Source organism: Homo sapiens, chromosome 3 (genome assembly GCF_000001405.40).
Source record: "Homo sapiens chromosome 3, GRCh38.p14 Primary Assembly".
In the NCBI taxonomy this organism is placed as follows: Eukaryota; Metazoa; Chordata; class Mammalia; order Primates; family Hominidae; genus Homo; species Homo sapiens.
Window position 1 is genome coordinate 149517235 of NC_000003.12, and position 26231 is coordinate 149543465.

The 26231-nt window shown below is 39.9% G+C and overlaps 1 protein-coding gene and 1 pseudogene across 9 annotated transcripts in view; one reads left to right on the top strand and one right to left on the bottom strand.

The window, feature by feature from the left end:
* The window catches only part of WWTR1 (WW domain containing transcription regulator 1), a 207554-nt gene continuing 181323 nt past the window's right edge, over positions 1 to 26231 (bottom strand). For all 9 annotated transcript variants that reach the window (NM_001348362.2, XM_047447933.1, XM_047447931.1 and 6 more), the window contains 4 exons: positions 25101 to 25303; positions 10602 to 10735; positions 8779 to 8891; positions 1 to 3755 (listed from right to left, as the gene is read on the bottom strand). In NM_001348362.2, coding sequence (NP_001335291.1) covers positions 3571 to 3755; positions 8779 to 8891; positions 10602 to 10735; positions 25101 to 25303 — 635 coding nt within the window. In that variant the 3' untranslated portion in view covers positions 1 to 3570. The remainder of the gene's footprint in view (positions 3756 to 8778; positions 8892 to 10601; positions 10736 to 25100; positions 25304 to 26231) is intronic.
* RNU6-1098P (RNA, U6 small nuclear 1098, pseudogene) lies at positions 8397 to 8492 on the top strand (annotated as a pseudogene).

Genomic DNA, 26231 nt, shown 5'->3' on the forward strand with positions numbered 1-26231 from the left:
TGGAAGTTCAATTGTCTTTATTTTTCTTATACAGATTCAGAGAAGTAAAAACCAGTACCAAACTCCAGGTAAAATGGTTTGATCTGATCGATTTGGCTGCATACTTTCGGTACGTATAACATTCTAAACTTAAAATAGAAATTTTTATATTACAAAACGTAGAAGTAAAATTTTAAAAAGTTAAAGTACTAGCACATATATGTGTTAGGAAAATGGTCTCTGTCAATTGCCCATTTTCCCAATTAAATTAACCTACGATTTCCTTTTTTTAACAGCTTATTTTTTTCATAAAAGTTGTACTTTGAGAAGTTACTTTCTAATTACGTCATGAGAACACAACTTGTAATTAGCAACACTTCTGTCAGTCTAGATCACTTCTTCTGCAGAGAGCTTTTCAACCAAGTTGGCATCAACCAGCACAATAAAGTTTTCACTGTTTTACCTGTTTCCTGTATATGGTGTAATCAGTGAAAGAAATGGCATTTCACATCCTAAATAATACGGTGAAACACTGTCTAAAAATTACTTAGATTTAACAGAATTGCAATTAGGTTTTGACAATGTATTTACTTCAAGACAATGTATTTTATCAGGAAAAAATATCTTGAAAGAAAGATCTCTGAAATTATTTTTCATTTGATACGCCTTTTCTGTGACAAAATTTTGGGGTGAAATGATGATGTTTACTGATTGATTTAGTACTAAAAAGACTAGTACTAAGAAGACTAAAGACAGTTATCTTATAATAAGAAATATAGTATAAATAGCACCTTATCAAGAATTCTGCAGGGGTTTTAACACTTACAATAATAGGAAATAGCCATTAAAAAGTTGCTCTAACTTTAGATTTCTAACTTTAGTGTTCTTTAACAAAGGCCATATTTTGTGGCCTTAAAAACAAAAAATTATATCTGGCTTTATCTATTAGTAAACACAAAGGGTCCATATTTTATTCTGAAAAAATATTTATTATATTCATTCATAAATGTTCTAACTAATTTAACTAAAAAAATCTTCTAGTATTTTCTGATGCCACAAGCTTACTAGAAAATTACTTCTAAAAATTGGTAATATAAATCATCAATGATTTACCTACTTTAAAAAAGAGGGGTATCTGTTTCTCTTACATTTAATAACCTGAAAATGAGTCTATAAAAATATTTTTTAAAAATACAGTAACACTGCTGAGTTTTGTTAGGTCCCTTGTTTTTTTAATTTTTTATTTATTTATTTATTTTTAGCAAGAATGTACAATTCTTTTTGCAATTTTTTGCTAACAAAAGACAAAAAGAAATAGTGCTCCCTTCAATTTAGTAGCAATAAAATCATCTATCTTCATCTCTCTCAGAGGGCTTAGGGAGAGTGAAAGGAATTAGAGGAACATAAACCATGGGTCCTTCAGGTAAAATAAGTCATTTCATAGTGATGGAGGCAACAGCAGGCTACGCTCTTGTCTGCCTGTACGCTCAGCATCAGCATGCCCTGCCCCTCCTCCTCCCACATAAGGTGCACCAAAGCCTTCTTTTCTTCTACAACAGAGTCTTCCGGTATAAAGGTGGCAACAGAAAATTGTTGCTTTGTCCTTTTGGGGCATCTCTTGCATCTCCTGCTTGTTTTGCTTTTGGGGTACTATAACTTGTCTCTTTCCATTTCACAACTAGTATCCTTTCCACGATATTCCATAACTTTGCTACTTCATCTCTGACCTTTTCACTTGCCTTCTTTCCAACATGATCCAATGTACTCTGTACATGTATATTCCGGTAGATCAAAAGGAATCTTATTTAAGATCCCCAACAAATAAGTCCCCCATGGAAATTGAAAGTATCCTCTCAGAGACTCAAATTATTAAAGTCTTTCAAAAAAGATTAAATTCATAGATTATAAATAATATTAGTTCAAAATATTAAACAGTTGAGGACTTCATTGGCAATGCAGGCAGACTGCATGCCAGTTGAACATGATGCTCTCTCAGTCCTTAAAAGCTAATTAAAAATGGTTTTGGTTACATAAGAGGTATTGAATACATATTTCATGCCTTTTTATACCAACTGTAGCAAACAGGATTAGGATAATATACTTAGGAATCAATTTTACTGAATTCAGAAACATTTATCTCCACCATACACCCTCAAAGGGCATTTTTTTTTACATGTCAGTCAGAGATCTGCTTCATCCTTCAGTTTCATAGATAGAATTATTTTAAACACTTGAAATCTAGGAAGCAAACCTGACAAGGCTTCAGAATTTAAAAAGCAACAGCTCACTGTGTGTGGTGTGCTATCAGGTTGAAATCTATGTTGTCCTGATGTTTTCAGAGTTATTTCAAAAGACAAAAATACAGTTGCCACTGATTTATCAAAAACATTTGGCTGCCTTTTGTCATCAGCTACAAAATTACAGTGCTTTATAAAATAAACATCAAGGCCGGGTGCGGTGGCTCACGCCAGTAATCCCAGCACTTTGGGAGGCCGAGATGGGTGGATCACCTGAGATCAGGAGTTTGAGAACAGCCTGACCATTATGGTGAAACCCCGTCTCTACTCAAAATACAAAAAATTAGCCGGACGTGGTGGCAGGTGCCTGTAATCCCAGCTACTCGGGAGGCTAAGGCAGGAGAATCGCTTGAACCCAGAAGGCAGAGGTTGCAGTGAGCCGAGATTGTGCCATTGCATTCCAGCCTGGACAACAAGAGCAAAACTCGATCTCAAAAACAAACAAACAACATCAAGAAAAAAAAAAACCATCAGATTCTAAGCTGCAATTTTTTAAATCCCCAGTTGTAATATTTCAAAAACTTTTGTTTGAATAAAATGCTCATAATTAGTACCAAACTGGTCTCTTTCACAAGATCTGTAGTGTAAGACCTGTGACTAATGCTGCTGCTGCTACTTTCCCGCTGGAGGGACTAAGTTGTCTAGATGCTCTGCAGTAAAATAACGAAAGATAAGCTACAATAGGACTGTGTGCCTTTATAAATACAGACTAATAAGAGCCATCAGAGCCAGCATGGATTCAAAATTACATTGTATTCCATACAGTAGAATTTTACTATCCATACAATGATTTTTAAAGCTCAAGTTAAATAGTTTTTAAAGCATTTGGTACTACTGTCATCAATACAGTTTTTGAAACTGTAAATCAGGTCGAATTTTGTGCACATTTCCTGGACCAAGATGCCCTCAGAAGTAACTGCCTGTGGTCAGCTTTTTATGGTTTAAAATCAATTGGTGTATAAATTTCAATTAACACCCATAAAGCTTAGCCATGGGGCAGCAGAGAAGAAAGAGAAAAGTATTCTGCATAATCAATCCTGCAGACACAATTCTGTATAATCTGTCACAAGAACGCAGGCTTGCAGAAAATGAAAATAGAATATTTATTTATGTTTAACTTAAGTTACTCTCAATCAAAACCAGGCAATGATTAAACTGGCAACATAAAAAGGAGGGAGCACGAGTCATGGAGGCGGGAAGTGGTGCACCTGCAGACTTGCTCTGCTCCATCACTTTTTCCAAGAGGCCCAGGAAATGTAAGGTCATGGCTACATCCAAGTTACAATGGTAGTGATTACAGCCAGGTTAGAAAGGGCTCACTTTTGTTCAGAGCAGACTCTACATCATTGAAGAGGGGGATCAGGTCTTCAGATTCCAAAGTTCCTAAGTCAACGTTTGTTCCTGGAAGACAGTCAAGGAAATCAGGGAAACGGGTCTGTTGGGGATTGATGTTCATGGGTGTTTGTCCTGCGTTTTCTCCTATAACAAAATGAAAAGAAACCATTTTAATTCCTTCTTTTAGGCTCTTGAAGGAGGAACAGTTCAAGTATTTACATAACCCTCACCTTCATGTCTTCAACTACCACATTATTGACCCTTACTCATAAGAGGTACAGAGATGTGGAAGAAATCGAAAATTATTTCTGGATAGGTGTGGTCCAGAATGGAAAAGGCCAAGGAGATAAGAAAGGAGCATGTGAAAGGCACTGTGGATCTGATCTATGATCTGTGCCTTCCCATGACAAAGGTGTGAAGAACTGTTTTACAAAAGAGTAGAGAGGCCTTGTCTGTAATAAACAGCTTATTACAGAACTATAATCTACAGGTTTCATTGTAAGCTTAGGTTTACCCATACCATCCTTCTTTATGTTCAAAGAGAATGGTGTGAAGCTTCTTTTAACCAGGCTATTAAAAAGTTGTCTTCATTGATGACTTTAGGCATCATTTATAAAGGCAGTTCTGCAGACGTTTTCCCTCTTTCTGTAATACCTACACCCTACAACTATCTGCCTTTCTCACAAGCATATGAGCACAGTGCATATGAGCATGTTAAGGCTTTAAGTCTTAGAGTAAAGAAATCTTTTGTTTTCTTTAAGACACTATTTCCTAAACCCATTTAATCACCTAAACCTATTTTGGCAGTATGTGTATTCAAATAAAACTGAAGTTCTACAGAACACAGGTGAGAAAATGCTGTACTAGAGGAAAAGTAGGTGTCTGGGATATGACATGAAGAATATAGGTTCTTTATGTGTCATAGTATGGGACAGAATGCACTACTGACTTTGGTGTCATTAGATCGAGCTTTGTGGCTGTGTAAGCTTAGACACACTTAACCTGCCTGATTCTCAGTTTACCCATCTAGAAATTGGGATCATATGCTCCTTTTACAAAAGTTAGAGTAAAGTGCCATATAGTGTCTGCCACATATCCATGGCTCTGGGTGTCATTGATATATACAAAGTTATATACATACAAAAATATAATAAATGTTCATTGTCCTGAGAGAAAGAAAAACCCAGGTCTTCAGCCACTATTAATTACACAATATCAAAACAACAGGTTAATTCAAAAAGTCCCAAACAATTTTCTGAAGAGATAATATCTACTTCAAAAATTGAGAAGCATTGATAACTAAGGCCAGCTTCCACCATAACGTCATTTTTTAAAAACTTGTTAAATTATCTTTTGTGTGTTACAAGTGCAGTAGCCTTCCTGAAACGTGTGTAGGGAAGTTTCACTATTTTAAGCAAAATTGCCGAAAGTTCACTTTAGCAATCTGTGTTTTCCAGGGAGAAAAATTATATCCTTCCAAATGATGAAGGAACCATCATCCAATTTGGATTTTGGTGATAGCAAAACACAATGGCTTTTCTAGAAGTCACAAAATATAAATGACTCCTGGGTAACATTTTACAGTATTTTCATTGCAAAGGGTAGTAAACTGAAAAATTAAATCAAATTCAACAATATGACCTCAATATAGTGTTACTGATATTGAAAAATAACGTTAAACGAAAAAACAAAATCCAAAATAACTTTCTTCTACTTACTAGAGTGTAACAGATAAAAATGAGGCTTTAAAAAGTGTCTAAAAAACAATCTGATCTAATGTGCTGGATGCCTTTTTTTCTCTTCATCTCCAGTTAGAATCATTCATTTTTACTAATTTCCCATTTTAACTTTCAGATACTCAAGAATATAATTTTTAGCCAAGCAAAATCTCTGTTTTAAAGAATTCCTAGGCCGGGTGTGGTGGCTCATGCCTGTAATCCCAGCACTTTGGGAGGCCGAGGTGGGTGGATCACCTGAGGTCAGGAGTTCAAGAACAGCCTTGCCAACATGGTGAAACCCTGTCTCTACTAAAAATACAACAAACAAACAAACAAAAAAACCCCAAAAAAACAGTGCCAGGCATGGTGGCGCACCCCTGTAATCCCAGCTACTCAGGAGGCTGAGGCCCGAGACTCGTTTGAATCCAGGAGGTAGAGGTTGCAATGAGCTGAGATCACACCACTGCACTCCAGCCTGGGTGACAGAATGAGACCCCGTATTAAAAAAAAAAAAAAAAATTACTCTTATCCTTTCTTCTCAGGATGGAAGGCATGAGGATACTGGCTAAGCTTCTTCATTAAAGTTAACAATCTTAAAATAGAAGCAGCTCTGCAATCTCATAGTAATCTTTTTGGTCTTTGCAGTTTATCCACTTAAAAAGTGGAAGAGACAAACACAAGGCAATTCTTTTTTTTTTTTTTGAGATGGAGTTTCGCTCTTGCTGCCCAAGCTAGAGTGCAATGGCACAATCTCGGCTCACTGCAACCTCCGCCTCCTGGGTTCAAGTGATTCTCCTGCCTCAGCTTCCCGAGTGGCTGGGATCACAGGCATGTGCCACCACGCCCAGCTAATTTTGTATTCTTAGTAGACACAAGATTTCTCCATGTTGGTCAGGCTGGTCTTGAACTCCCAACCTCAGGTGATCCACCCACCTCGGCCTACCAAAGTGCTGGGATTACAGGTGTGAACCACCGTGCCCAGCCACAAGGCAATTCTTAAAAGGGTGTGATTACTGCAGAATATTCTGGAAGGATGGATGATTTCCCAGCCTTTGCTCATGTTATTCCCTTTACTGGATCTTCGCACCAAGCCCAGCTGTTGCTGCCATGTATGTTTTGCAAATGGAGTGCTCAGCTGGCTCGTTTCCCTTCAGCATGTGGCCAGCGCGTGGTCCACAGGCCTGATAGATCTTTTCTAGCCACACTTGAGCTCTGCCTGCCCCCACAGCTTCCCTCATTTTGCTACTGTATAATTAACATTTCTCCCCTTGAGAAGATGTATGTCCAGTTCCTACAAAGACTTCACAGAGGTGGCCCCACACTCAATGAGCTGACTCTAACTTAACCAGGTTAACTTGGCACTCACATTCCCACACTCAATGAGCTGATTCTCACTTAACCAGGTTAACGTGGCACTCTGACATTATCAAGTCCATTGTATGTATGACATCAGTCTTCTTACTGGAGAAGAGCACTTTGAGCTGGTCTCTGTGATCTCATGACTCCTCACAACTCTGCCGTGAGCATATCACTCCCACTTTATGGGTGAGAAATCTGAGGCTCACGGAGGTTATGCAACTTACCCAAAGGCGCTACTAGGAATGGAGAAGCAAGGATTCAAATCAGGCTGCCTGTTGGCTAAAACTATGTTCTTTTCAGGACGTCATTTAATTCCACATTACGGCTTCAAAATAAAACACTCCCTACTTACCCACTTGAGGTTATTTTAAAGAGACATAGAGTAGAATCCATCCTCTTTTATGGTTTTTTTTTTTTTTTTTTGAATGTCAAACTTAGATTTAGATCTCCTGAGCTTTTTTCCTTAACTTTGCTTTTTATCCTTACTGGCTTCCCAGTGTTTAGAAGATGAAAGTAAAGAATTATTAAACATAGGAAGGAGCCACTTCCTAAGGCTATTCCAAAGATAGCAAAATAAATCTCACACTCAAAAAGCAGAGAGAGAGATAAAGGTGGCAGGGGGTGGTGGTGGGGGAAGAACTGAAGTAATAAACTGAAGAACAGTAAAACAATCAGTGCAAACTATTCCTGTGTCACTCCTCACAAGATAGTCTTTGCAATCTTCTCAATGCAAAGATGACAACCTACACGAAAGACGCCAGGGGAGCAGCTTTAATGTACTGCATTTGTAAGACACCTGGCTATGAGTTTGACTCTTGATCTTTCCAACAATTTAGACTCACAACACAAAGAGAAGCCATCAAAGAGTAGAGTGTAAAAAACTACAGGCACTATGGCAAACACTTTGGGGGAAGGAATTTTTTATTTTCAACACAAAACAATTACTTTCGTCAATGATAATGGAGAAGGAACTTTCATGAATAACTCCAAATAGTGGACACCCTGGCTGTCATTTATTTTTGGTTCTAGAATATCTTCTTAGAGTTTATGACTTTCATAATTAAGTCTAGGTAAGGCTAATAAGACTAACTTCAGTTTCTGCAATTGGAAGTCTCACTCCTTGAGAAAAGGAGAAAAAGAAAGGTAATCGGGAAGCCTGGTGAGGCTGGACCTGAAGGATGCACAGGCTGGGGACAAGGTAAGAGTAACCCTGACTCTCTTCTCTTTAATTCCTGAGGGAGGATGTCGTTACCATGTTGGAACTTGGAAGTGACAATTTTGAATCCTCTGAGTTGCTCAGCATTCCAAATACCCACTGCCAATTGCTTTTCAAATGCAGTGAATGACATGAAAAAAATTGGATACTAGAACTATAAACCAGTGTCACTTTCCAGGAGAAAGGGTGGCCCATATATTACAACTAAAAACTAGAACAGCATAAATACCCCAATGTGGAAACATGGCAAACAAACAGTGGTGTCTTGATGCAATTGTGAGGAAGGGACTATATGGAGCAAAGATGAATTAAAAAAAAAAAACAACAGAATTTAAAATCCTGCGCCCAGATGTAAAACTATACTTGTATAATCTATGAGGAAGGGGCTACAGTTTATTAATAGTGCCTGGGGGTTCAGTGGCTTTTCAGCTGTTATTTTATGTTGTCGTTGAGATTGAGTGTTTCTGGTTGGATTTTAAAATTGAGATGACCGTACTCGCTCTGGCAGCACCTATACTAAAACTGGAATGATTAGCATGGCCCCTGCATGAGAATGACATGTAAATTCATGAAGCATTCCATTTTTTTTTTTTTCAACATTTTTACAGACACTCGGGACTACTGGGAGTGGGGAGGAACAAGGGGTGAAAAACAAACTATTGGGTACTATGCTCACTACCTGGGTGACGAGAGCAATCGTATCCCAAACCCCGGCATCACATAACCATGTAGCAAACCTGCACATGTACCCCCAAATATAAAATAAAAGTTGAAATTATAAAAATAAAATAAAAGAAAAATAAAATTGAGATAACCGAAGAGATCATTTAAAAAACACAAACCCATTGTAAGTGCTTGCAGGCTTTGCTCCTACCTGTATCCATCTCATCCACATTGCTGAGGAAGTCCTCCGGAGTTGTGGGGACACTGTAGCACCCTAACCCCAGGCCACTGTCAGTGCTCTGCTCCCTCGAATGATATGGCCCTCTGCAAAGCAAAAGATGAAGAAACTTCAATATGAGCCCACTAAATAAATCTCAAAATTAAAACACAGTCACAAAAGCTCTAAACTAGTGCAGTTGTGCCATGCTGCCCAACTTTCCAGGTTAGGGAGGAAGGAAAGTTTTAATTTTGAAATACATACCCTCATGAAAATGAAAATAATCATGTGTGGCCATTCACAGTAAATTGACATTGATTTCCTTTTCACCTCAAAATAACCATTTGAACATTCTTCAACATACAGAGTATGACACCATTTATGTAAAACTTTAAAAAAAAAAAACAAAAACTATGTTGAATATTGCTTATGGATACATACACTAACGGGCAGTAAGGGGTATAAAAGTCTGTGTGATGGACACACGCCAGTTTCTGAATAGTGGCTACCACTGGGGACAGAAGGGAAAAGAAACGAGATTTCAGTGGTGGGGGGATGGCTTCAAATATTAATTGTAATATTTTATTTGTTAAAAAGTAAGATTAAATAAAACTATGGCAAATCTGGGTAGTGGGTACATGGGTAATTCATGTTATTCTTTGTACTTCTCTGTGTTTCAAATACTTTAAAATCAACAATTTAAAACCTCCATTAATTATTATTTCAGCTACTATTTGTTTTTATCTCTATCTTTAATAATGTTCATAATTGTATTGTTTGTTTGCCAGACGTCTCTGCAAGGGCAGAATAAAAGGCACAGGAAATACAGAATTGCCCTTTTTATTTGATTTAAAAACTACTTCTGCTCATGAAGATATTTCTGGCTAAATTCTCTTTCCCTTTTGCTCCTTTGTTTTAATTACTTTTTAAATTGTGAAATTATTTTAAACTCACATAGAAGACGCAACAAGAGTACAGAGCGTTCCCATGTACCCTTCACCAGCTTCCCCAGTGATAACATCTTACATAACCATAGTGCAATTACCAAAATCAGAAATCTGACACTGTAGAATATTATTTACTAAACTATAGATCTTATTCACATTTCACCCTGAACATCATCTCTTTTCTTTTCTTTCTTTTTTTTTTTTTTGAGATGGAGTTTCACTCTTGTTGCCAAGGCTGGAGTGCAATGGTGCAATCTCGGCTCACTGCAACCTCCGCCTCCCAGGTTCAAGCAATTCTCAGCCTCCCGAGTAGCTGGGATTACAGGCATGCACCACCATGCCCTGCTAATTTTGTATTTTTAGAAGAGACAGGGTTTCTCCATGTTGGTCAGGCTGGTCTCGAACTCCCAACCTCAGGTGATCTGCCCACCTCGGCCTCCCAAAGTGCTGGGATTATAGGCATGAGCCACCATGCCTGGCCGAACATAATCTCTTAATTGTTCTGTTCTCAATTTGCCATATGGCATGCTTTTATCCCCTGTTGGTTACATAAAACCAGAAGATTCTTCCAAGTATAAGTACTAGACGACACCATCATGTTTAAAAATATAAGTTCATGCCCATTTTCAAATTCTTGACTAGGGGTTTACTCTACGTCCTATCACCAATTTTTTAATTTGGAAATTTTTTAACAGGCAGATGATTTCCCCTGCTTTTCTTTTTTCTGCCAGCTCCTCCCACTTCCTCCCTTTATTCTCACCCTCAACCCTCAAGCTCCCCACCTCTTCCCAATGTAAACAAAGATCCTATTATAGTCTAGATCACATAATAAAGAGAATAAAAATAAGTGGCCCCCAAATATTAACTTACCCATTGAGGAAAGGATCTGAGCTATTATTAGTGATGGATCTCATGTCTGGGGTCATCGTGGGTGGGTTGACAGCAGCCTGAACTGGGGCAAGAGTCTCAGCTTCCATGGGGAGCTGTCGACAGAGGGCAGCTTCCTACAGTCAGAATGGGAAGCAAGAGTCATGCACTCATTGTCACAAGGCATGGAGCAAAGTGTACTTCACATCAAAACTTTTCACCAAATACAAAGCACTGTGTATTTACTCCCAGCAAGTCAAAATCACCAGGCAACCATTAGTATTCTTTCTCCGAAGAAAGTCTTACAGACATAAGTCACTTCACATTCACAAAGTTAATGGGAAGCTCAGCTATTATTTGATCTAAGGGCACTTAATGTTGCAATCATCCCACCCATGCAATTATTTAAACACCCAAATCATAGAAAGCCCTCTCAAAACACTTTGTCAGAGACAAGGCTTTTTCTATCTCAGGTTCTCAAACCAAATCTACATCAATCAAAGCAATCAGACTCCTCTGGACTATAAAGTACATTCTGGTCTTTGCCACTTACAGGCCAGTAAAACTGTGGAATTACAGAGTCCAGGCTCTACATTAAATTGCATCTGGCAGTTTTATGTTTACAGACAGGAAAGCAAAACAATGAGTTGAAAGTTTACTTTAAAAAGTCAATCAGTGGCCAGGGGTGGTGGCTCACGTCCATAATCCCAGCACTTTGGGAGGTCGAGGTGGGCGGATCACTGGAGCCCACAAGTTCGAGACCAGCCTGCAACATGGTGAAACCCTGTCTCTACAAAAAATACAAAAATTAGTTGGGTGTGGTGCTACTTGGGAGGCTGAGGCAGGAGGAGCCCTGTGCCTGGGAGGTTGAGACTAAAGTGAGCAGAGATCACGACACTGTACTCCAGCCTGGGTGACAGAGTGAGACGCTGTCTCAAAAAAAACAAAAAAACAAAAAAGTCAATCTATTTGACTACTTTGTTGACTAAAATGCTGAAGGTTGGGGAACCATGTAGATCCAATCCAAATCCCACAGACAAGTAACTGTTTCACAGCATATGGATTTCATTAGCAGAAACAAATAATACAAGCATTATTTTATAAAAGCTAGCATTACATTGCTAAGAAGAGTCTATCCAAAAGGCTACAAATTTACTGACTGCAACTACTTTCTCTAGGTATAATCTCCAGGAGTCTCTCCATCTTGACAAACATAACCAGACATCAAATTCCTTTCAAATTTGCTGATGTTTCCAGAGAATACTTTTGTATGTTTACATTTGCATCCCAAACCAAGGTTAGGCCTTTCCCCATATTTATGCCTATCAGTTTCCCACTTTCCATGCTGAAGTCATTGGTCTCACTGTCCCTCAAACCCTAAAACCATGGCTACAATGGCAAACAGAACATTTAGGACTTCTAAATTACAGTATCTTCGTTAGATCTCTTCCAGCCCTAACATGATGTGACTTTAGAGGGTAGCTGCTGTCTAGACAAGTCCTAGTGAAGTCATCGGCTATAAAAATTTTCAGTTACTAGAGTTGGTTGCACTGTTACAAACCATGAGAGACCTGATTGATTTAAAAAAAAACTGTATTGTTAACTTATACTGAAATAAATCTAGCTGGAAAGGGTCTTTGGCTCACTTCTGTTCATCTAGATTGCAAATAATCAAATACTTAACTAACAAATTTTATTCAGGAATCTACAAAAAGCAAACCAAAAACTGGAGATTTTTTTGGTAAAAAGTGATTTTCATCATCTAAATCTTGGAAGTGCCTTCTGAATAAACCTAGAAAAATCAAATTATTTTCTGATAGTTGTTTTTAACATGGCAGGCAGGGTGCATTAGAAACCTTATTATCCAACCAAAGTTTTCCTGAAAGCCTCAGAAGGAACAACAGGGATTGAATCTGGCATAAAAAGCCTGAGTCCCACCAGTCCCCATCCCTCAAGCACACTCATACACCCTGAGCCACAGTTTGAAAAAATGTATCTCATCAATGGTAAATTTCTAATACTTTATTAACCATAAATGCAAGAATCTTTTGACTCATAACCCTCATTATCCAAAAACATGAACTTTACTAGAATATTCCATTTTTCAACCATTCTGAATAAATGTGGGAGTTTACCTCTAAACAAATACACTTTTAATTTAAAAGTTGATGAGATGGCTGCATTCCTTTGTATTGAAAAAACTTTATCAACATATGTCTTAAGAATACAAGTTGAGGCCGGGCGGTGGCTCACACCTGTAATCCCAGCACTTTGGGAGGCTGAGGCGGGTGGATCACGAGGTCAGGAGATCAAGACCACCCTGGCTAACAAGGTGAAACCCTGTCTCTACTAAAAATACAAAATATTAGCCGGGTGTGGTGGCATGCACCTGTGGTCCCAGATACTCAGGAGGCTGAGGCAGGAAAATCACTTGAATTTGGGGAGGCGGAGGTTGCATTGAGCCGAGATTGCACCACCATACTCCAGCCTGGGCGACAAAGCGAGACTCTGTCTCAAAAAAAGAAAAAAAAAATACAAGTTGAATCTGCAATTTCCAGGAGTTCTAAATTTATATATGGTAAGAATCATTTCTGGAACTTCATGGGATAAAAAAATACACTATATATAACACACATGAATTGTTATCTGTAATAATATATAAAATTATAAGAACAAATATCAAAAATTAGATATAAAATAAATAGTTCTAAACTTTCCTATTAATTTAAATTACTCCTAGCTATTTCCAGTAAATAAAACATAAAATAATGCTTGTGTGTGTCTAAATATATAAATAAAATATATAAATAAAATTTAAAGGATTATTTATGATAACCAAAGCTGAAAAACCTATACTATATTGGAGGAAATGTTTCACTGTGCCATTTCACATTTGTTCCATCTGTTCTAAATCAAAGAGAACAGAAGCTCTAGTCTCCAGCACTGATGTTTCCCTAACTACCCTGAAGACTTAATCACCAAGTCATCCTAAGGGCAAATGCCGCCTTCTGTCTGTAGGGGGCTCACAGTATCATTTTCTACCTTCAACTGACTAACAAATAAGAGAAAAATCAGAAAGGGTGTTGAATGTACCCGGAATGATTGCTTTTTTTTTTTTTTGAGATGGAGTCTCACTCTCTCAGCCAGGCTGGAGTGCAGTGGCGTGATCTCAGCTCACTGCAACCTTCACCTACCGGGTTCAAGCAAGTCTTGTGCCTCAGCCTCCCGAGTAGCTGGGACTACAGGCATGTGCCACCACGCCCAGCTAATTTTTGTATTTTTAGTGGAGATATGGTTGCGCCATGTTGCCCATGCTGGTCTCGAACTCCTGGCCTCAAATGATCTGCCCACCTTGGCCTCCCAAAGTGCTGGGATTACAGGCGTGAGCCACTGCACCCGGCCTGAATAATAGCTTTGAAATATAAATTAGGCCAGTCTGAGTTAGAAAGTTATTATTTATAATAGGACACTTTGTCTAAGATTATTCCAAAATCATTCTTAGGTCACAAGTTATTCCACATAGCAGCCAAAGTGAAGCTCACGTGACCCCCTGCTCTAAAGCGACCTGCTTCTTGTTCCACCTGGATGGTAAATAGAGGCAGGTCCTCACTGCAGACCACCACACCCTGCATAACAGCCCTGGCCACCCTTTCCTCCCATGTCTCTGATGTGCTCCCCTCCTTCACCCCCTTCCAGTCTCCTGGTTTCTCTGCTGCTCCTCCCACCTCCTGCACCTGCGCCAACTGTTCTATCTGCTTGCAAGGTGTTCCTCGAGTCTTCCTAAAGCTTATTCCCTCACTTAACGCCTGCCTCCTACAGACGCCATCTCTTCAGAGATGCTCCTACCTCACCCCTGTCTAAAATGGCCTCACCCCTGTCATTTTCTGTCTCTTAATCTGCATTAATTTTCTTCAGTGCAACTTAAGTTTTCATTCTCTGTCTTTCCTACTAGAATGTAAGCTCCACGAGGGAAGGGGCCTTGTTTGTCATGTTCACTCCTGTACCCAACTACCTTAACAGTGCTAGGCATACAGTGGGTACTTGGAAATATAAACTAAGAACATGCAATCTCACCTCAGCCACAAATATGAGAGAAATAATAGCCTATTGTATACAACCCAACTAGCCAGGTGCAGGCTCCATCCTCAAGAAATGGTCCTGCTGCACTCTTTCCTGCTCCTCACATAGGATGAACAGGAGGGCCGAGTGGCCAGGAGCTAGATGCTTGAATTGGAAACCTGGTCCTGCTATCTAACAGAAAGTTATTTAACCCTCTGTTCTTCATTTGTAAAGTGGGGATAATAAGAGCACCCACCCAAGAAGGCTGCTGTGATGATAAAACGGGATAACACTACAAGGTGCTTAGAACAGTGCCAGGCACTCAAGATCACATAATAAATACTGAAGGAATTATTATTATTTCATTTTCTGAATTCCAATCTCAAAAAAAACAAAATAAACAATTTTAAAAGTCACACTGTCATGTGGAACTGATCCACTTTAAGTGGTGAGAGGTTTCTTCCTGGTCAACTTTCACCTTGGAGGGATTAAACCAAAGTGTGAAATTCATCATAATGGTCACCAAGGCTAAGAAAACAATTTTTTTTAAACAAGGAGAGGTTTATAAACCATTTTTATATAACATAAAATTTGTTCGAATATAAATGGAAAGTAGTGAGATGTTTTACTTCACTTAAATTTTATAATACGAGTTCTATATTTAGAACTTTAAAAATTCTAGCCTTTTTTTGAATGAAAATACTTCCCTATTCCAACTCATGAACTGAAAGAGAAAAAGAAACTGTACAAAACCCGAGGTCTGAAAATAAAAGGGCTAACCTCACCAACATGTTGCCATCCAAACAGGGGAGGGTTTTGTTTTAAACTAAATTTAGGTATAAAATTAAAGCCCAGACCCAGTAGGATTTGGACTGCCACATGACATCCACTACCCTTGCGTGGGTAAAAATGAAAGGCAAACGTCTGACTTAGACCAAACAGCAGCAGTCAAAATGGATGAAACTAAAGCAGCTGAAGCAAAGACAAAGACAGGCACTGGATGAAGTAAGCTTCCATGGAAACAGAGGGGTGACAGTTGGTCAAGGCTGGCTGAGGGCATAACTCAAGGCCTCTGCCGCTGAGCATCGGTGGTGCAGCTGCCTTCACTCAGCACCCCTTCCTTCCTCTGCTCCCTCTAGTCGAGGCAGGAAAACAAACGCTAAGCTGGCTTGTCACTCATTTCCCACTGTGCTCCAGTTAAACATGTATATTCACAGATCCCTTCCAGGGTCCCCTCTGTGTCCACCCTGCCCTCCAAACAAACCTTCAGTTTCCTAGACCAAGCTCAAAACCTGCTTTCTGTCTCAAGAAGCAGGTCATCATTGCTTCTCTAGCTAGTCCAACTGACCTCTTCCTCCAATCAACCTTCAAGTGCAAGGCTGCATCCAGGTCCCTACCCAACACTTTATCTTACTGAAATCTTTTCAAAGAGTGACCAGAGACCAATCAGGATAGAGAGGGGTCAGGGCATCACATCCTATGAAGAAGAGTGGGGCTATTTAACCACAGGGGAAGACTAGAAGGGCACACAGTGGCTCTCAAATTATTAATGAACTGTCACAGGAAAGAAGGAAGATCTCTTCTAGCCTAGATTTGAGGCAGATACGATGAAGGGCTTTCTAGTTACTTATCAGTTCAGGGCAGGAACTGCCTTCTTCTCAATTCTCCAGGCTATTAGCCACCGGATTTCTGAAACAGTAGTTGGGGTTTAAGTTGGGGTCCAGAGCTTGGCACCGAAAAGGCAGCATGGCACAAGAGCAAAACTGTCTTTGGAACCAGAAAGATTGGAGTTCAAATCCCAGTTCAGTTACTACATGTTGTGGCATCTTGAACTAAATTCTTAACCTTTCTTGACAGTTTGTTCACCTGAAAAAAAAAAGGTGGTTTATAAGACTGATCTTGCTGGGATGCTATAAAGATTAGAAAGCGTACTTATAATGGACCTGGCACATTGACGCAGTTAACAGAACAAGCTGCTGATAGTGTTAAATGGTGTGGGAGGCAGAGATACTAGCTAAAAATTGCATATTGCTTACTGTGTGTGAAACACTGTTCTAAGCCCTTTAACATGTTATTTCCCATCCTGGCTAACATGGTGAAACCTTGTTTCTACTAAAGATACAAAAAAATTAGCCGGGCATGGTGGCATGTGCCTGTAGTCCCAGCTACTTGGGAGGCTGAGGCAGGAGAATTGCTTGAACCCAGGAGGCGGAGGTTGCAGTGAGCCAAGATAGTGCCACTGCACTCCAGTGTGGGTAACAGAATGAGACTCTGTCTAAAAAAAAAGAAAGAAAAAGAAAAGAAAAGAAAAGAAAAACGTGTTATTTCATCTCTTCCTCGTGACAACCCAATTGTCTCCATTTTACAGATGAGGAAACTGAGGCTCAGAGTTAAGAGTGTGGCAAAGTCTCAGTGTGGCAGAGAAAGAAAAGTTGAGGGTTGAGGTTGACAGACCTCAAATTGTCAACCCTTTCACCTGCTGGCTGTGAGAACTGGGCAAGTTACTTCACTTTTCCGAGCCTGTTTTCCCAGCAATAAAATAGAAAGACCAACCCCTCTACCTCAGACAGTTCAGAGGAAATTTAATGAAACAGCCGATTTAACTTTCCTGAACATAGTTTTCCTCCCTGAACAGGGCAACAGAATGAACTGGATGTATTCAATGATAGTTTTCAACGTATATGAGTGGAGCTCATGTCCTAGGAATTCACAACCCATCAAGCAAAGTTACAAGTTCCAATTTCAAGGGCACTTTTCAGAAGGAAAGCTCTCCCTGCTGACCCTGACCCAACCCTCCTCCAACAAATTTATTTTTGTCTATGTCCAAGCTTGGGGTGGAAAGACTTGCAAAATAAGGGCTCAAGAATCTCTTGGTGAGTTTGTGGTCAACTATCTAGCTCTCTGAAGTGAGTAATTATTTATGGGCTAAAAAATACCCTTTCCTAGCAGCTGGAGGACGGGTGATGTGTAAAATAGCTGAAGAAGTAAGGATGTGAAAGACAAATGATTATTTGTGAGCTGAAGGTGTCCCAGGAAGCAAACCTCAAACCTCCTCTCCTTCTAGGTCCTTGGCCTGCAGCTTGCCTGTGGAATAAACCAACAGAGGAGGTGAGAAAGTAAACGGCAGCTGAAAGCATCTGCAGCTCTGTCCCGCCTTGGCTGAGGGAACACTCTGCCAGCCAGCTCCTGCCCTCACCAGAATGCACTTCAAAAGGGAAACAAATGACAATCAGCTCTTCAGAGGCTGCTCTGCTTGATTTAAGTGTGTGTGGCCAGGGACTCTACAAACATGGAAGATTGGATTGTTTTAATTATAAAGGGTGGGGTGAGTAGAAAGAAAATGAAAAAAAAAAAGACAGTATTTTGAAATCCTAACATTAAAATAGTTATTCTGGATGCAGAGAAATTGCTTTCTCTGCCAAAACCCTGAGGGACTTCAGAGAGAGAATGCCGAATTATTTACCTTCTTTACGGGGGACGGCGGGGGGAACAAAAAAAAATTACTGATGTATATTTCTTTTTAATTCGGTGCCAAGGGATTCTAAAATGCACTGTCACACTTCCCGGAGACTGCCTTTTTGAAACAACTCATCACTAATGCTCAGCTGCCAGACTGTCCCTACAAAAGAACAATCGAAACTGCGATACTTTTAGGAAGCCATTTACTAAGTTTGTCATTATTATCTATGGTCTATTTGTTGCTCTTTTTACTCAGAGTGCATAAAGCAAATTTGTATTATTCCACAACTGGTTTCTGTTGTCCTTTCAAATCACATTAAAGAAAACATTATAATTTAGATACTCGTCTGTCTTCACTTAAAAAAAAAAAAAAAGGCTGAGGCCTGGTGCAGTGGCTCACACCTGTAATCCCAGCACTTTGGGAGGCCAGGGTGGGCAGATCACTTGAGGCCAGGAGTTCGAGACCAGCCTGGCCAACATGGCAAAACCCCGTCTCTACTAAAACACAAAAAATTAGCCAGGCGTGATGATGCGCACCTGTAATCCCAGCTACTCAGGAGGCTGAGGCATGAGAATCACTTGAACCTGGGAGGTGAAGGTTGCAGTGAGCCAAGATTGTGCCACAGCACTCCAGCCTAGGTGATGAAGTGAGACTGTGTCTCAAAAAGAGAAGAAAAAGAAAAAAAAAGACTTGAATTGATACTATTGTTCAACAACAAGGGCACACTGGGACATTTTGGAAAATGGATTATTTCTGGGACATGTAAGCAAATAAAACGCTTGACACAAGCTAGAATGGAAGCTCTGTGAGGGAAGGGGCTGGGGTCTGTTGTTCACAGCTGTACTTTTAATGCCTAGAGCATTTGTAAAACAAATATATGAACGAATGAACTTAAATAGCCAAGCTTATATGGAGGGATTTATAGATTCACAAAATATTAGACTACGTGACCTCTGTTAACCCAGTCAACTCTGAAACCTAATGCTATGAAATGCTTTTCTAAAAGTTAAATAGTCCCCTGTTCTGAAGCAAAGGCTATGAAATAGCCTACATTTATGCTTCATGATCTGCTCCAATACGACACTCTCCTAGCTCGCTAAATAGCTATTCTTTGCATGACAAAAAAAAAAAGGGGGGGGCCTCAGAACCTTCCCCAGGCCAGTGCTGCTCACAGCCAGGTGTGTCCCCCTCCAGGAGCCCTCTGTCAGGATGGCTGTGCGAGGTCAGCCAGCTGGCCCGCCGCGCCTGGTGGCTGTCAAGCCTGGCAGAAATCCCACAGACCTGCCAAAAGAATTCCGAGGCCTCCCTCTTTTCTCGTCCCTGTTGCCCCGGCGACCCGAGGCCAGGCTTAGTCAGCATTTTTGTTTGACAAACTGCATTCTCCTGTCCCCCAACCCCCAAATTAAAAAAAAAAAAAAAAAGAAAGAAAAGGTTGAGGGTAAAAGCAGGGCTGAATTTGCTTTGGGAATAATGATTTCTCTACAAGGCAGCCCCCGTGAAGGGACAAGGGGGAGCCAAGGCTTTGCCACTTACTCGTCTTCCAGGTCCTGGTCCTCGAGGTTAAAATCTTCCAGAAAGATGGCCCCAAACCGTTATATTTAAATGAATAACACACATGAAAAGAAATACTCTCTTCAGGTAAAGCCATATGCCTGTTTTCATGTCAAGGAATTGTTCTTTTAGATAAACAGGCATTGAGAAGCCTGTTTCTCAATGTCTGACCTGTGACTACGATTTCCCACTTCATTTGGTAAAGTTGCAATTGTGCCTTTTAGGATACTGAGCAAATATTGCGTTGAATTTTTCAGTTGTAACAACAGAATACTCTGTAGTCATTGTGGGTGTGTGTGGCTCATGACATTTAAAAATTTATGTACGGCCTGTTGTAGAAAGGATTCTAGGCGCTTTGGAATGGGTACATACAAAGTCACAGCACAACTTCATGGCTGACACAGAATAAAAAAATGACTTCCCAATATATTAAGAAGAGGCAACAAAGCAGTATTAAAGTATGCTACCACTTTTGTGTTTTAAAAAACAAAGTAGACACATTGATACACATGATACATACAAAAAGACTAGAAAGAAATCATCAGCATATTTACAGCCACTCTTTCTAGGTAAGAGTATAGGTGATTATAATTTCCTTCTTTGTTGTTTAGTATTTTATACATTCCGTACCATAAACATACGTTTTGTCTTTTTGTGTGTAGCAATTCGTTTTCTTTTATTATTCTTTTTGTTTACATACAGTAAAATTCACTCTTTGTGGTATACATGTCTGAGTTTTGACAAATGTAGAGCTGTGAAATAGCCACCACAACCAAGACACGGAACTGTGCCATCTGCCCCACAATTCCTCAGTGCTGCCCCTTTGGAGTCTACTCTTTCTGTACTGTCAACCCTGGCAAGTGCTCATCTCTTCTCTGTCCCCATAGTTTTGCTTTTCCAGAACGTCACATAAATGGAATCATACAGGATGTAGTTTTGGGGGGAAGTCTGGTTTCTTGCACTTAGCAAAAACACTTTTTTAAATGCTAATCACTAAAGTAACTCAGTAAATTATATTTTTAATTTTTTTTTTTTGAGACAGAGTCTCACTCTGTTGCCCAGGCTGGAGTGCAGTGGCTCGATCTCAGCTCACTGCAACCTCCACCTCCCAGGTCCAAGAGATTCTCCTGCCTCAGCCTCCTGAGTAGCTGAGACTACCGGCACCCGCCATTATGTCTGGCTAATTTTTGTATTTTTACTAGAGACAGGGTTTCACCATGTCGGCCAGGCTGGTCTCGAACTCCTGACCTCAAGTGATCTGCCCGCCTTGGCTTCCCGAAGTGCTGGGATTACACGCGTCAGCCACCACGCTTAGTCAAAAATTAAAATTTTTTTCTACTTAAAAAAACTCAACAAATCAAATTTTAATTTCCTTAAAAAAATGAAGAGAAAGCAAAACTTCAATAAGAATTGCTTTTTTTTTCTAGAGTTGCCATTTCTTTGGTGAACCTGAAGTAGCCTCACAGCCTTTGGGAAATTCAGTAAAAATAAAAGAAAACTCTATCACAGACAAAAGACTTCCTTTCACAGAAATGCACTCTTTATGTCTTCCATGTTAGATTCCTGGTACCCCTCCACTTGAAGTGTCTGCCGCATTCCAAGATAATTCATCAATTATCAGATACAAGTAGCTCAGCTCTGTTGCTACACCAGCCAATGCTAGATTGGAGGGACTGCATTTAAGGAAATTCTCCTGCTTCAGAAGATTCCTTATCAGCAGAGATACCAAACCTTACTGGCTCTTTTGATCCTAATTCTGTAGCCAGTAACCTGAGGGGTCACTGGAAAGAAAAAGGAGTATCTGATGCTCACTTTCACAGAACTCTGCTCAGGTGCATCTGGTCTCAGTTCCAGTAATGAAAGTCAAAGATGGTAGCCACTGGGCCCCTGTGAAGCAGGGAATGGTTTTAATTTACTCTTCTGGTCTTTAACTTGGATTAAAGTTAATTATTTTTCCTTTTCTGCAAAAATACAAGTTATCTGAAGGCAGTCACATCCCATTTACCTGTCTGTTATTTTCTACTAAATAAATATTGATTGAATGAATGAAGAGATAAAGGAATGAAGGAAGGAAAAAAAATATGAGCTTCCATACTGAAATAATGAAGGCTCACTTTAGATTTGTAATCAAAGTTTCCTCAGATCCATTTTGTTAATGTTCTCGCATGATTTCAATGCCAATGAGTTAATAGGTGACCCTTTGGCATTGTGGTATACATCAAATCATGCAACAAGGACCAAGGAGTTGTTTTTTTCATGGCACAACATCATCAAACTATATGCCTAGTGGAACAACGGCATAGCAGAAGGAACAGGAAGAAAAATGAAACAATATTTATATAGCATATTCTCCACAGGGATCTTTCAGATTCGTCGTATCATTCAAGAATGATAAAACTATAGACAGCGTGATAATTTATTAGTAATTAGGGGATAAATTCATCTACTTATTAAATTTTGCCAACCTCCCTTTCTACTACAGAAAGAGAGCATAGCCTGGGGCCTTGCTCCCAGACAGGCTCAGTTGGTAGAAGGGCAGGTAGGTCTAGGCCTACCTGCAGGGCCTGGGCCCCAAGAAGACAGGCTGTACAATTAAGGCCGCCTACAAGCAAGAGGAGAGCCAGTGTAATTACAAACTGTCCACTGAGCAAGGGATATTCAGGCAGTTGTTGACTACCCAGGACATAGGGGTAGGACAGAGAGAACAAACAGAAGTGTACAGATAATCTTTAAATTTCACCAGAACCACCACTTCCCCCATCTCTCCAAATTCCTACCAGATGCTGGAAGGCAACTAAACAAGTGAGCCAAAGATCACTTTTAATTCCAGTCCATTTCCCTGCTGCTGCCATGGCTTAGGTTCAAAAAGTGAAGCAGAAAATCACCAAAAGAGTTCAAAAAATCCACCAAGATGAAACACAGAGCCCACACCTGAATACTGAATAATCAGGTGTCCTGGCAAATGCCCCAGAAAACTATTATAGAACACTCCAATGCCATTTATTATATGGTCTTAAATCATATCTTTGACAATCAGGAGCATGCTGCTTCTGCATGGGGAAAAAATCTGCCATGATTAAAAAGTCTATTTAGACCTTTTCCTGTACTCCCTAACAAAAATAAAAAGGCATCAGAACACCAGAACCAACCACTCCACCATTCCATCTCCTCCTAACTACACACACACACACACACACACACACACACACACACACACACACAGAGTCAAGGCTGAACTACATGAGTCCCTGTGAGCAAATCTGGACAATCTTTTCTCCTGCTTCATATACAATGCAACAATGCAATTGCTCACTATGATGCAGCACAACGCCCCACGTTCCACAGCCTCCAAGGATCAGCATTTAAGGAACTTGGTTGGCATTTCTGTAATATGAACCATCAGTACTACATCCTGGTTCAAAGGCACCTACAGCTGGAATAAAGGAAACAATTTGGGGCACTTTTCCCACCCCTTTTCAGAAATACTTTCTGTGGGAAAGAAGGAGGAGAAGCAAGAGAAAGAGAAACACACCCGCAAAAACAGAGAAGCAAGTCATTCTTTGCAGAATGGTCACAACTTTGTGTAAAGAAAAAACTCACTAAAGCTCATTTAAGTATAAAACTGAGAATGTATAAAATGCTGTTGGGATACTGTTTAATTTACCTTACATTATAAAACAGAAAAATTATTCCAAATAAAATTATTATTCAAAGACAGAAAACAATTAACAATACAATTACTTCCCATCAAGAAACATGACACTATATATCTAAAATCAGTATAAACAACCGTTAGCCTGAAATAACCGTGAAAGTTCAAACATAAATCCTCAGGGTAAAAGACACAACTGTAGTTACCTAATTATTAAGTTGTATTCCTCAAATTTGGAGGAAAGTTCAGCTGAGCAACAAAGCACAATTTATATTCATTTTCCTTATTTTCAAAGACTATATCTGAGAAATGATTTTAATTTACCATGCATTTTAAACCTCACACAATATAGATTTCTTATATCCTGGAATGTATTTGATGAGAAATACATTATTCATTCATGGAAGTCAATGTGTATTTTTGAAAGTATCAAATGTAGCTTTAAAAAAACAGCATTTACCCTAACATGCTCGGTCCTTTCCTCCAAGAAAGTTCTCTGGAATGTTAAAACTACTTATTTCTCTAATTTCTCTAAAGTAGCAAAAGGAAGTTATTCATGTATCTTGCTTCATGTGAGTCACAAAACAAAGTCTGAAAAGTTAAAACAATAAACTGAAGCTTTTCTCCCCAAAAATGTAGCCAGAAAAAAAGCATGAGACCTGAAAACATGGGTTATATTAGTTTAGCAACACAGAAGAAAGAATTCTGCTCTTCCATAGACCAAGCCACTGAAACAGGGAGAGCACTGTGGGTTCTTTTAGGAATTCTCTTGTATTCGTTTTTGAAGTACAGCACTGAGCCTGACCCACAGAGGGCACACGGCAACACACTCCTGACTGACGGAATGAAAACTGAATGAATGGAGTATGGTACAAAAGTGCCTGATTGATGCCCAGGCAGTTTTGCAGAGCACTCTGTTGGAGTCCATATACAAACCACTTTCCCTTCTCATTCTCCCTTCAGCTTCCCTCTTTTTCATGCTCTGTGGTGGACCAAGATCCTTTGTCATTTCTTCTGAGGAACATCCACTCCACTATCTGCTTGAATCTCGGGGGGTTCTCTGTGACTACTTTGACCAAGAGAGTGTGGCAAAAGCGACTCCACGACCGTTTCCAGAGCTAGGCCCCAAGAAATTGGCAACTTCTACTTCCTGTCTCTTAGAATGCTTTTTCTTGAAAACCCAGCTGCTATGGAATGAGTACCACTACTCTGAGATCGCCACACCATAGATCCCAGGCTTTTGTTCCAGCTTAGCCCAGTCTTCCAGCAATCCTCACCATCATGCCACCCACTTAGGTAAAGCCATTGTGAACTATCCAGACCAACCCACCTACCAGTTGAATACCACTAAATGACCTCAGTCAATGCCATGTAGAGCAGAAGAATATCCCAGGTGAGCCCCTTCTAAATTCTGACCCACAAAATTGTGCGATATAATGAAATGGCTATTTAAGCAACTACATTTTGGGATAATTTGTTACACAACAACAGACTCTTGTCTCTCTACTTTCTCCTTTCTCTCCTTCTAAAGACTAGCAGTGGAAGCCAAAGGCAGCCATGCTAATACAGCTCGTCCTTGTACCCTTAAGCTTCGTTCTGAAAAGGCAGGCAGAACACTGAGAGAAGAAACTGGATTTTAATCAAGAGGCTTGGAGTAGGGCTTTGAGCCCTATTGTCTCTTCTTCTCTAGAAGAATTACCCTGAAGGTAAGCAGCTACCTACCCATCAGCTTTGGCACCAAGGCCAGGGAGCCTCCACCAGACACCATGGAAAGCCATACCTGCCTCATGAGCTCCTCTTGGCGCATTCGAATCCTTTCTCTCTCCATCTGGATTCTCTGAAGCCGCAGTTTCTGCTGCTGCTGCTGCTGAGTGGTCAGCGCATTGGGCATACTCATGAGCCCTGCGGGTGGGTTCTGAGTGGGGTGGTTCTGCTGGCTCAGGGTACTGGGGGCCATCTGCTGCTGGTGTTGGTGATTCATCACTGCAAGAGGGAAGAACATACAGATTAATGACCAGGGCCCACAATACCTTATCAAAAATAGACCATCAGAATGTTTTCTGCTTTGGAGTATAGATTCCTGAGATTCCTTCCAAAGTACTTTCCTGTTAACCATTACTGTTTAAGTAATTATTACCTTAATTCAATTCACGGAGGCTCGAATACTGGCCCCAATCCTGACTCATCTAGCCTCGGCTTTTGTTTCTGTTAAAATCTCATTTCACACCTCCCTGTCTAGAGTACATTTTAAGCCTTACATAGAACATAGTGGTCTAAAGCAAATTCCACAAAGGTTATCACAAGTTATGAGATAATTTCACCAGATCATTTGTGTGTGTGTGTGTGTGTGCATGTGTATACTTTCTCAGTTAATTTGTGTGTTTATGGCAGAGGTAAGGAGGGCATGTGATCTTTGGTACACAAACCAGTGAATTGACAAACAACATGTAACACAAAGCACCTAGATCAGGAGCCGACATATAAGGAGGACTCCATTAATCCTTTGTTTGAAAAGCATGCTGCAAGGAAGCCTGAGCTATGAGCTAAACTCAGGAACAAATATCTGACTGAGAAAAAAATGTTTGTTTCTTCAAAGGGAGAAATTAGTGAGAAAGAAATTATGCAGAAATGCTAAACATGTTGTGCCTGGATAAACGCATGAGAAATATTTTCAATTTTTTTAAAATGCTCTATTTATCTGCATTTAACAACCAGTGAAATTTCAGCATATAGAACTTCACTTTACGGCCAGGAGCAGTGGCTCACGCCTGTAATCCCAGCACTTTGGAAGGCCAAGGCGAACGGATCATGAGGTCAGGAGATCGAGACCATCCTGGCCAACATGGTGAAACCCCATCTCTATTAAAATACAAAATAATTAGCCGGGCATGATGGTGCATGCGTGTAGTCC